Source organism: Homo sapiens, chromosome 8 (genome assembly GCF_000001405.40).
Source record: "Homo sapiens chromosome 8, GRCh38.p14 Primary Assembly".
In the NCBI taxonomy this organism is placed as follows: Eukaryota; Metazoa; Chordata; class Mammalia; order Primates; family Hominidae; genus Homo; species Homo sapiens.
Window position 1 is genome coordinate 96,161,942 of NC_000008.11, and position 13,245 is coordinate 96,175,186.

At 39.5% G+C, this 13,245-nt stretch overlaps 1 long non-coding RNA gene across 1 annotated transcript; it reads left to right on the forward strand.

The window, feature by feature from the left end:
• LOC124901984 (uncharacterized) lies at positions 2,927-5,728 on the forward strand. The gene is made up of 2 exons (XR_007061017.1): positions 2,927-3,091; positions 3,763-5,728. It is a non-coding gene; the product is annotated as an uncharacterized LOC124901984 (long non-coding RNA).
• The last annotated feature ends 7,517 nt before the right edge of the window (positions 5,729-13,245 follow it).

The following is a 13,245-nucleotide window of genomic DNA, read 5'->3' on the forward strand; positions in this document are numbered from 1 at the left end:
CCGCCCACTGCCTCGCTCATTCCTGGGCCTGCACGCTGAAAGGCGATGCGGCGTAGCGCTGCTTCTGTCTGCCACAGTGCTCTGCCCTGGACTGCTATGGGCAGAAGAGTTTCCCTCAGTACTGATTGGGTGCTCAGGCACCAACCATAAAGTACCCTCCTTTAATCGTGCCAACAGCTTTGTGAGGTTGGCGTTGACTATTTTCACCTTCACGGATGGAAAAAAAAAAGACTCAATGGAAATAAGTGACTTTTCCAAGGCCACTCTGCCAAGAGGTTATGCAGCAAGGGACAGAACCCAGGCTCCCACCCCAAGCCCAAGATTCTTCCCACTACAGCATAGACAGTCATTCCTGGCCCAACTTCTCTATTTCAGTTCTGGCTTTTTTCTTCTCTTTATGGTTTCACTTGATCTCAGGTGGCTTCTTTCTCCGCCATGCTACTTTCTGTGTGTGTTCCCAGTCTCTCCAATCTCCTCCCTCTCACTTTCTAACCCCTTCTTCCTTTTGCTTTTTCATCACCTCTTCTGTCCTGCAGGGACCACTCACATGACAGCCTGCAGGGGGAGGGAGTTTTGCTGCGCTGCTCCCCTCATCCTTTAACTTCCTTAAGGTCTGGGATATGCCCTCCACCCTGGACACTGGCCTCCTCCAGGTAATGGCAAGCACCCACAGAGAACTTGTGTGTCAGTCATGGTTTGAAGCCCTTCGCCAATATTATTTTACTTAATCTTCACAGCAATCCTGAAATAAGTGCTGTATTATTCCTATTTTACAGATAGGGAAAGTGAGGCCCAGGGTCACACTACTCCAGAGTCTGGGCTCTTAATCACTGGGCTATTGAGCTTGGCTGCTCTCCCCTTGGTCTCCGTGGATGCCCCTTCTGGCCCTATCCCAATTCTACTTATGTCCCCTAGTTTGGGTTTCATGGTTGTCAAGTTCTGAGACCTTATACTTGAAGGTGCTTTTACTATAATATTTTCTTCCTTCCTCTCTCTGTGCTTTAAAATGGCTTGTTAATATTTACAATAAAATAAAATAAAAGGAGATAAACTGAAAGAAAAAATTATTTCTCAAATTTTTGCCACTACAACAAATCCAAATGTTTTTACCTTTTGGGTTCCCTTCCACTCCTTCTTTATTTGTTATGCACATATCCTTTTCATATTATTGTAATCCAGGGATAGATATTATGTTGGATTCCTCCCTTGTCACTTAACATTTTACAACCAAATCCACTGCCTTCGATGTCTCTCCCCTATGTCCCCCCTTCACTGCCCCTCTGCTGGCCTGCAAATGCAATCTCTGTAAAACCACAGACTCAAAACTCCCCATTTCTCATTTGCAGAAGGAACATTTCCCCCCTGCCTACCTGTCGCCTGTGGGATGTAAGTGGTCTTTTTTGGCCTGCCCTGTGTCTTGCTCTGTATGTCTGCCTCTCAAGTGTCATCCGGGAAAGTGCCCTCCTTGTGATCTATTTCCATCCCTTCCCCAGGAAACAACACTTGTGGTTTGTGTTATCAATATTTTAATTTCTATCAGTATGGTGCCTGGTTAACAATGATTCATAGTTTTACAGTTTCAGACCCTCCATCCAATAAGTACTGTATGTTTCCTGCCTGCAGAGGCAACTCTATGTGTTCTCTCTTCATTTTGCCCACAGCAATTATTATCTGCTGCAAGTTATCAGTAAACAGGAAACAAAGTAATGAGCCTATTGCTGTGGTTTAGGACCTCTCAGCCTGCTAGATGGAGCCACACGGAACAGTAAATGACACTGAAACAGGGACCACAAAGGCCATGGTCTGTTGTCCTTCAGGATTCCCCTGGGGCTGACATTACCCTCCGTCATCGCTATCAGCCTCGGGTCTTTGCAAGAAAAGTTCTAGCTGGTCTTTGCCTGAAAGGGCTGCAGCGATCATTTTACAGGTGAGGAAACAGAGGTGCAGACAAACTCAGTGGAGAGAGCCCGAGGTTTTAAACTAGTCCAAAATACAGCTAGGATTAGGAGCCAAGACATTCTGACTCCTAAGCGAATGCTTCTCCTGTATTAAAAAAAAAATTTCAAAGATCATGACAATGACCCACAGTAGTATATAGTGTCTGATCTCTTCCTCTCCAGTGGGTAAATTTCAGATAGTTTCAGATAGGAATCCACCCCAATGTGGAGACCACACCAAAGCCTTTGCACTCATGCTGTCTTTCTCTCTCTCTCTCTCTCTCTCTCTTGCTCTCTCTCTCTCTGTGTGTGTGTGTGTGTGTGTGTGTGTGTGTGTGTGTGTGAAAAATAAAGATACGAAGAGCAAACCACAAGTCCAAATCTGCTTTTAAGATCTCTTCAGGGAACATTTTGAGTCTTTGAACTAGTGCTATAGAATTTAAATTTTCGATCTAATCTTAGATGTTCTAGTAATCTTAAACAACTTTATCTGTGAAAAATGTTAGAAAAGTGAAAGTTTCTTGAGATGCATTGAGAAGGTCTGATGTGAGCACCGTGGCATTCTTGTAGTGGTTAGATTTTTCTACACCAAACAGATGGAAGACGTACAACTGTGCAGTATGGTATCTCCTGCCCCCCTGTGGACGCCGACGGAGTTACCTGTGGAGAACCAAAACAATACTGGACAGGAGCATGCTTACAGGCACTTTCAAAGTTGAGCAAGGGATAGTGGCATCTATTAACATAATTTTAAGAAATCAGAGAGTCATGTCTAAGGTATGTGTATCATTTGGCAACAAAACATCCATAAATGAGAGATCTGTCCACCCAGAGATACAGGACCAAAAGCAAATAGAATTATCCTGTTATTATCTCAAATCGGTGCTGGTATTGTTTTAAAATTATTATTTTACAATAATCTAGGGAGAGAAGATTCTCTTAAATAAGTAGAAGACTTTATATCTTTTGTTATTTCATTTTTCATTCAGGTGTCACTCCAAAGACAACTTTTATAACAATGACTGAGGATGTTGGACTTTGGTATGGACTCCACCTAGCTGTGAAGTAACCATACTTTAAGGGGCTCTGGAAATATACTCTAGAAAGATGTCTTAGCACCTGAAATTTTGCAAAAATAAAGTCACTTCTTTAAGGTACTTTCTTTATAAGACCCCTGTTGAAACACAAACATTATCTAGTAGGATCCCTATTCGTATTTTACTACCACTATTAGACTATTCCAAATAAACTAATAATCCTGTAAGACTGGCTAGCTGACACCTATTTGGTCTAAAAGTAATGAGACTTAAGATTGGTGGATTTTGATTATAAGAAGACAGAAAGGGCTGGGTTTTAAATTCTGTTCCTTTGCACTCCTAGAGCCTCTGGCAAGAATAAGGAAGAAACCAATCAGGTGCACCTCAGGTTACCCACACTTGCTTCAGCCTGAGCAGTCCTGCTTTTATCTGTTTTAGACAGTCTCATAAAATTTCATCTGCAAAAAGATCCCTCAAAAAAAGAAAAGAAAATGAAAGCTATTGGCTTAGAGTACTGGGTAGTGTTCCTCAGAGGGTGGTCAGGGTGAAAAATGCGTGAAGTCTTGAGCAGCAGGAGGAAAGCTAAAGACTCTGCTTCAGGAAAGTGGAAGAAGAGGCAAAAAAAAAAAAAACCAAAAAAAACCTGTGACAGATACACACAAAATACAGCTTCTCCTTTATCTCTTAGACTGGGAGGTACCAGCCCTATTAATACCCTCTGTTTTCCCTAATTTATATTGAGACTGATTATTCCATTTCTTTTGTTTATTTATTTGTTTCCTTGGCAGAATAATTTACAGAGAAGTTAAGTGAAACGAGTTGTGCCAGATGACAGAATACTCTGGGTCTCAGCGTCCCCCCACCATCAGCTGAACGGGGTCTCAGTGAAAGGCAAATCAGAGATTCAGTTGGTCCCATGCGTGCCACCAGAATGACAGCACTGAGATTGGTAGGAATTGGCATTTTAGTTCTGGATGTTGAAAGAAGCACCAACACTCACGGGGGGGAAATCAAAGCAACCCAGTCACTGCCCTTCTTTGGTTCCACTGCAGGGCACATAGATGTCCAACCATCTTGTAGTTTGCCAACACCAGTGGTTCTCAAAGTGTGGCCCCTCAAGCAGCGTGTATCAGCATCACCTGAAAACTTGTTAGAAATGCTAATTCTTAGGCCTCACCCAGATTCAGAATCAGAAACTCTGTTGCTAAGGCCCAGCAATCTGTGTTTTGACAAGCCCTGAAGGAACTCTGATGAACACCAAGATTTGAGCCCCTCTGGCCTACACCATGAAACAGGGGCAAGTTACCTGCCAAGAACTTCAAGAAACGCTTTGATTTTAAAGGGAAAGCTGTAAAGGAAATGCATAGTATGCAATTTTATTTTCAAATTAATGATTCTCATTCCTAATGAGCAAATAATTTTCATTCTCCATGTGAACCACGTGTATTTAATTGCCTACAGCCATACCAGGCCAAATGTAGCTAATCTGGCTTGATCTCTAAAAGTAAGTGAAATTGGGCCTGTTTATAATCTGAAAGAAAGACAGAAACGTCATCAGAATGAAGTTGACTGCAGACATCTTCTTATACACTCTGGATGTTAAATGAGGGGCTTAGAGCCATGGGTTCGGATCTCAGCTCCGTCACTTCCTAGCTACGTGAATTCAAAATCTTCTACTGTGAGTTTTGTCACCTCAAACAGAGGTGAAAATATGTCCCTCTAAGTTTTTTGTGCAGACTATACAATAACATATGTAAATTCTTACCACAGATGTAAGTAAATATGGTGATTATTAATTAGTCAATTATTTGGATTTTTTAAATGTTGAAGAATTCTTTAATTTTAGTAGTTCTCAATCTTGATACTTTCATTTTGGAGTTACACTTTAAAATTTTTAGTTTAACTCGCTTTTATATTCTCTTAAATTTTTTTTTTCGTTAAGTAACTTCTCTAAAATGGCTGTTTGTTTGACACAGCGAGTTTTTCCTCTATTTCACTGTGAATTTGGGGCAATACTTTTCTTCTGTAATGATTTGACATGTTTTATGTTTGTCCAAATATTCTAGATTAAAAACACATTGCAGTTTGCTAATAGGTATTGGGATACTTAAATTGAACAGACGAAGTGCCTTCTCAAATGAGCGTCTAGGATGCTTATGAGAGTAAAGATGATTAAATTCTAGGAAAGATTTGATCGTTGCCAAATCTAGCATAGAGAATAACAATCATATAGGAAATTGTCTTTCCTGTTTAGGATCAGATTTGGTTTGAAAAATTACTACCAACTTTGTAAACATTAAAATAGAAGCAATAAAGATGTGAAATTTCACACAGGGGATCTACAATGTTTGGATAATTATAAGCATATGGCTACTTTACATGAGATCTCTATTAAAAGTGTATTTACTAGGGCTCTGGGAAAACAGGGTTCTCAAATTCAGGGTTTATTTACATACACTGAGAATGTCACATTTACTATCAATTTATCATAATCTATTTTTACTTCAGAGCTCTAAATAGTATTAACAAAATGATAACAGTATCTGTTGTTTATTGCTGTCTTGTCTATTAGTTAATTTACCAGGTTTTACTCATGAGAGAAAAGGAAAAGAGCAATTAACTTTCAATCAAATGTGTCAAATCCTTTCTCGATAATTTTAAAATTTCCTATATTTTATGTTAATATTTAGGGCATATGCCTGTGTGGAGTAGTTTCAATATGTTCTACTCAAATAAAAATGATTGATGTAACAATTGTATGTGCTTTTTTAAAATAGTACTTCGATGTGTCTGTTTCTAGGAATTAAAAAAAACCCACACATTTGTTGCCTATTTATTTAGAATTAATTAAATAAATACTTTAAGTCTTAGAAATGGTTGAAACTTTATTTTGAAACGAGTAACTATGGGATTTAAGAGTTTGAAAAGTCAGGATAAACCCTACCTTTCTCAAAAAACCTTTCCATGACTTTTCTTCTCAAGTGCTAAGATTATGAAATATCAACAGCTGCAAGTTATAATAAGTTGATCTTAAATACAAAGTACAGAGATGGAAAGTAGGATAGTGGTTGCCAGGGGCTGCAGGAGGAGGAAATGGGGAATTCGTATTTAATGAGTACAAAGTTTCAATTTGGGAAGATGAAAAAGTTCTGAAGACGGACAGAACTGTTGGTTGCACAACAGGGTGAATGTACCTAAGGCACGGAACTGTACACTTTAAAAATGGTTAAGATAGTCAACTTTACATTGTATCTATTTGACTACAATAAAAAGTACACATATAATAAAAATTTTCCAAAAAAATCCACTTGCAAAATATATGCTTAAAGACAAAACTTTTTTAGACAGCTTTGTTGACAATTTTGGCTTTTTCATTTCACTGCATAGACTTTGTTAATAAGCATAACTGAGTGTGGTTTTTTGTTTATTTACAGAAATGTCAAGGGGAATGTTTTATTAGTCCTTTTGCCTCTACCTCTCCAGCTGTATCATGTGAGCCATCCTGAATTTCTCACTTTATTTTTTTCCTTAGATAAGACTGTTTCAGTAAAGATTAGAATTTGCTAAGCTATTTTATTAAAGGACTAATATGTGAGGGAGTTTTTTTAAATTTTTTATTTTTTTATTATCATACTTTAAGCTCTGGGATACATGTGCAGAACGTGCAGGGTTGTTACATAGGTATACACGTGCCATGGTGGTTTGCTGCACCTATCAACCCGTCATCTACATTAGGTATTTCTCCTAACGCTATCCCTCCCTGTGAAGGAGATTTTAAAGCACCATATGAAAAGTTGATTCTATAAGTTCCTGGTGTGCCTATTCCAATGTTTAACAGGCCTCCAAGGAAGAAAAATTCTGAAATAGTTAAAATTTATATTTTTCCTCCTTGCCTTCTCTTTCCAGAATCATCATGTTCCCAGTGTGTCTTTCTCTTGGCTAAACGTCAATTAATGCCTAATATCTACCTCTCCAAGAGTAAATTGATTCCAGGCTTAAGCTTTCAAGAAATACATGTATTTCAATAAAATATTCTTGAATACCAAAAAAGTATTCAGGTCAAAAATCATGATGTCTGAATGGTGGTGGTGGTGATCCAGGCACAATGACAGTCCCATATGTTTATGTGGCTGTATTCCTTTCTTGGAATCTTGCCACATTTACAGTGTACATGTTACAATCATAGCTCGCAAAGGCAGGACAGGACTATAAAAATCACATGGTCCAGCCCTTTCTTTTAGAGATGAAGAACTATGGCTGCAGAAACTGGTAAGAGACTTACTGAGGCTTGTGTAGTTCATCAAGTTGAGAGCCCCAGCTCCCAATCATGAATCCAGGACTCTTTTTAGAACACCAGCACTTTTTCCTGTACTGTTCTCCAAAGAGTATCCATTTGAATGTCCTTCCTTTCCAAAAAATTTGAGGACTGTGAGGATAATTTTCATGCTTTACATACTTTTAGCTATTCCCCTCTGGGCTGGGTAAGCATGATGTAGAGATATTCAGGTACTTGATATTTACAGGTGTCAAATACAGGTATTTACATACTTTAAATGCTGTTAGGTATATCCCACTGGGTGAGGCACACATGACATAGTTATCAATCTATATCATCTATTTAAGTATCTGTGTCGAAATGAATTGACCTTCGCTTTCTCTTGTCCTCCTCTATCTCCTGCACAGCAAGGACAACAGGAATTATAATCCATATAGAGCAATTTGCTTACTTGAAGACTATTATGAACTCATGACCAATTTTTCCTTTTTCTGTCTGCTTTAGGTGTTTCAACAAGACTTTATTTGTTCAACGTAATGCCCTCCCATAAAGGAACTTACACAACCTAATCTAGACAGATTTCAGATAAAGCCATGGGTTCTTTTAATCCACTTTCGGGAATGTTCTAGTTTTGGCCTCTACACATTCTCACTGTAGAAAAAAGTCACTGAGGTGGAGGTTAGTGCATTTCTAATTATTGAGAATGCTAACATTTTAATATTAAAGAACAATCAGAGTTGCAGAAACAGTGGTGAATCCACCCATTAGCAATTTAAAGAAAATAACAAGGGACGAGTTAGGAGTTTGCCTCCTGTTATTTTCACTTCCCTGGCTCCCTGAGTCTTTCCAATTCAGCAGGGCCTCTCTCATCATTTGCTCTCTTTCTTCTCTGCTCAGAGACTGGCTCTCTTCCTCTCCACTACTGGTTTTTCTCCATCTTCCTCCCTCTTTTCATTCCCGCCTCCTCTTCTTTCTCCCAGCCTTTTCTTTTTCTCTTCCTCATTCCAGCTCTCTTCCTATCCTTTCTCCTCTAACTAGCTAACATCTGGGACTGAAGCACATTTTAAAACTTTCCATTCACATTGACCCTAATTTAAGGACCAAATGAATTGAACTTTATATTTTCCTCTAAAAAAAAAATCCTACCAGTTAAAACTAATCTACTTTTCCTTTTATTTAAATGTGGCCCTTGATAGATTTATTTTCCCACAGTGGCCCTGAAAGGGGAAAAAAATTTTTTTAAACCCTATCTGTCCCATAAGGATTTTATTATTTGGTATTTGTTTAAATATGGCATCAAATAAATACAGATTCCTTCCTTGTATTGGTGTGTTTTTATGGTTGGGTGTAGTGTAGCCAACACTACAATTCCCTTGCTGCATTTTTTGAAGGTTCATATGGCTGCCATGGATTCAGTTTGACCCTCTCTTAGCAGTTAGCTCATATCTTAGCAATATTAGGCAGTATGTAACTTGCCAAGACTATCACTTTAGGAGTGTAATATAAATTAATAATATCTGAAATTATAATTTTAACACTATAAGCCTCTTCCATAAACATTTTGGCTTCTATTGGCACTCAAGGTCTTCTTTAGGTTTTGTTTGTTTGTTTGTTAGAGACAGGGTCTTGCTATGTTGCCCAGGCTGGTCTCAAACTCCTTGCCTTAAGTGATCTTCCTGCATCAACCTCTGGAGTAGCTGAGATTAGAGGCATGAGCCAATGCATCTACTGCGGCCAATACATTCTAGCCCTAACTTCATCTCCCCTTACTTCTAAGCAGAGATCTGGCAATTGAGCCGCATGATGTTGTGGATCCTTCTAAATCTGCATGTGTTTTCTTGCCACCTATGTTCTGCAAACACATGTGCCTCATGTGGAAGGCTGGCCTGCCTGCCTCCTCTCCACCATCTGCACCTAACTGTAACAGACACGTTTCATGGCACCACCACCACACCCCGCCCTAGCTCCTAATGTGTCCTGCAGAATGGGCGTATGTGGATCTGAAAGATAAAGAAGAAAAATTAAACCCTTGAGTGAGTTTATCAGCTCTTCTGCCTTCCATGTTCTCCAACCACCTCTGCACATACATACATCTCTTCCTAGAGTAAGAAGCATTGGTTGGGGTTTATCCTAGTAAAGTAACAGTTCTGTAGAGCCATGTAGCACAGAACTCTCCCAAAAGAACCATAGGCAGGAAAATTTAGTGAGACTACATTTTGAGAAACTCCTAACCACTGTGACAAGAAGAATCACAGAAAGTCAGATCTTAGAAAGTCCTAAGAGATCACCCAGTATAATTGGCTCAAAATAGGCAGTGTCGAATAATGGTTCAAGCTGCCCAAGCACAAATCCTGCCGCTACCATTGCAGCTATACAGTCTTGGCATCTTACAGAATGTTTTCTGTTCTTAACCCCTTCTATAATGTGGGGTCAACATGCCATCTAACTCACAAGTTTGCAGTGAGGATAAAATGAACTAATGCATGTAAAACCCTCTGAATACTGACTGTCACATAGAAACATCTTACTGTTAGTAATATTATGATTTTACAGATGAGAGGAATGATGCTCAGGGTCAGGTTCTGTGCAGAGTCTCACAGTTAGTGACAGAGCTGGGATGAAAAGCCATGTCTCCTGACTACCATTCAACCAGGTAATAAAAGGGTGGGTGTTCATGAACTTCATGAAGTTCACAGTGAGTTTTTGCAGGATGACTAAACAGATTTTAAAAAAGATTGGGGGTACTGATGAGAGAGCAGAGCTTACAACCGATGCCTTCTAATCACTATCCAGGCATGCTGGATTGAAAACAAATGGACAATTTCAATGTGGTGATGCAATGCCAAATGCTCTCGATTGCAGTGTTTCACAAACTGTGGGTTGTGACATAGTAGTGGGTTATGATATCAGAGTAATGAATAATGACCACAGATTTTTTTGAAGTGAAAGAATGGAATAGAATAAAACAGAACAGAAAGAATAGAATGGAATGGAATGGAATGGAATGGAATGGAATGGAATGGAATGGAATGGATCAGAATACCTTGAACATAGTACAAACATTCTATTGGAAAATTTCAGTGGTACGTCTCTCTCTCTGTGTGTGTGTGTGTGTGTGTGTGTGTGTATGTGTTGTGGGTTGTCCATAAAATTCTTACTAGAGATGTGGTTAATTTTTTTAAAAAAAATTTCTTTAGAATTGTTCTCTAACACTTTTTAGCATGGTTAGATATATAGCTAGAAAATTTGTGAGGAACAACCTTCTTAATTCCTTTGGAATAAATGGTTTCACTAATAATGGCCTTTTCTATTTATCCTCCCTGGGATACTCATCTGCTTTAGCCACGTTACATTGCAGGCAAAAGAGCCGGGACAAAGGAGTGAGGGAAAAGTGTAGCTGCAGGCAGAGGCTGCTCATTGCTACCATTTTCCAGGAAATGATTACTCTGGCTGGCTGGCCAGATCAGAGCCCTGACCATAGCCTCCAAATTTCCACCAGGACAGGTTGCATTGGCCACATGATTGATGGCTGAAAAATATTAACAGCATCAGCTTAAATGAAAGAGGGATTAAAAGCTACAGTCAGTGTCTCTGAGGACAGAGCTCACCCAAAGAAGCCCGTTAAACAAACTGATGTTTCCTTAAAAGTTGTCTGCAAAATGTGCAAACTGACAAAATGTTTACAGAATCCCTAGTACTCCGCCAGCTAGGTTTACCTTTGGCAAATCACTCTGATGACTCTATAATTACTACAGTCCTGTGGTTATCTTTCTTATAAAATGGCTGGAGATGAAAGAAAACCAATAACTGAGGCCAATTAATTCAAGCTGCCATTCCCTCCCACAAAGAACTGAAGAAGATCTTCATGGCAACTGTTCAATGTGATTTTTTTTTCATTTGAGACTCTCTTTTATAAAACTAAAATACACAGACAGCAAACTTAACCTGGTTATTTCTTGTCCTCTTCTCCTGCCCCCATCGAATCACTGTTCTTGAAACTTATTGGTTTAGAAAAACTCAATCCAGACCAGTTAGCCTCAGGGTACACTAACATGCTTTTGAACCAGGCAGTTGATAAGTTGATTTAAAAGCCTGTGGGAAAACGCTAGCAGAGTGCCTGAGAGAGTAGCATGACTCAAGGGCCAAGCATGTGTGGGTGCCGGTCAATCTTGCCACCTCAATATTTCTTTAATCTTTCACTTTAAAGTGTCTGGAGCTTCTATCCCACGTAAGTGGGAAAACTGGTATTCTTCCTGGCCTTGGTATTTCTGGGGATTCTTGGAGGATGATGTTTCTCCCAGTTTCCTCTTATTCCAAATTTATGCTGAATTTTCACTTTCTTCTGTCCTTCTATGACAATCTCTCCTTGCAATCTTGCCTTGAATGCAGTTGTCATTGCTTTCGCCTCTGGCTCCCCACAGTACACAAGAATGCCACCTGTGTCAGGCTGCTACTGAAGGCGGAAGCCCAGCAGATGCCAACATTAGATGTCTTTTTTTTTTTTTTTTTTTTTTTGAGATGGAGTCTCGCTCTGTCGCCAGGCTGGAGTACAATGGCGGGACCTCAACCTCCCAGGTTCAAGCAATTCTCCTGCCTCAGTCTCCCGAGTAGCTGGCATTACAGGTGCCTGCCACAACGGTCAGCTAAATTTCGTATTTTTAGTAGAGACGGGGCTTTACCATGTTGGCCAGGCTGGTCTTGAACTCCTGACCTCAGATGATCCGCCCGCCTCGGCCTCCCAAAGTGCTGGAATTACAGGCATGAGCCACCGCGCCTGGTCTAGAAGTCTTTGTTTTTAAGCCATTCTCATTTGGATCACCTCTGTGACCTTCTCACAAGCCATCTCCAATTCCCATCCCTCTCATCTCTGCCCAATTTCCCTACCCCCTTCTTTCTTCACAGACTGCCCAGGACATCTCAAAATCTTGTTTCTTTATTACATAAATCAAATCAGCTTCCCGTTTCTTCCTCTATTGGTACCCAAGAGATACAAAGCCCATTGCAATGAGCCAACCAACAATAGACTCAACCATGACGGCCAGTCTCCAGTCATTATATGTAGAAGCCTATAAATATACTGAAATCAAAAGCTCACTTTTTCTCTGAATCAGATTAAATTCTTGGGGAAGGCACCCTTACCCTGATATGAAATATGCTGCCCAATCTTTAAAAGCAGAAACAGACCTAGTCAGATTCTCTAAAGGTTTGTTTCTAACAGTGTTTTTCCTCTTCTCACTACTATGGATATTTAATAAACTTGCTTAACTGAGAAACTGATTTATTAAATATGTGACATTTAGAGTTTATAAAAACCAAGCATGTTGAAAGAATTTTCTGAGCAAGAAAATATGTGCTCATACTTCCAGGACTCTTCAATGTAGCATTTGCTATTGTTGTTGTTAATAATATTTGCTATCTAGCCCAATGTGCTAGCTAGCACACTGCCAGCCCAGCCACACCTCTTATATGAAGTTAAATGTAAGTCACATGGGTAACTTCATCATGGCTAAGGAAAAACCCCCTAAACCAACAGCTTTGGCTGAGTCTCTAAGCCTTTAGCTAAATTAGTTAAGGGTACAATTCAACATTTGGCTGACCTGATTCCATCAAGGCAAAAAATGAGAACTGGACAAGACAACGCGCTCCAATATACATATATACTTACTTAAGCAGAGTGCCTGGATAGATGCTCCGTTTTCTCTGCATCTATTCTTGACTTGTCCTGTAGATATTTTAGAGTAAGGATTAGAAGACTTTGTTCAAACTTTATTGTCTATTTTATTACTTGTGGTCCATAGGAGATAATCCAACAGGTAACAGCAGTTTTTCCACAATAGTTGTGTTAGGATAACATGGCATTGAAAGCCCCTAGAGGTGATACCCTAGTTTCCATATTGGCAATCTTATTCCTGAAAAATAATTGTTTCCCAACAGGTGCTGGAGAGGATGTGGAGAAATAGGAACACTTTTACACTGTTGGTGGGACTGTAAACTA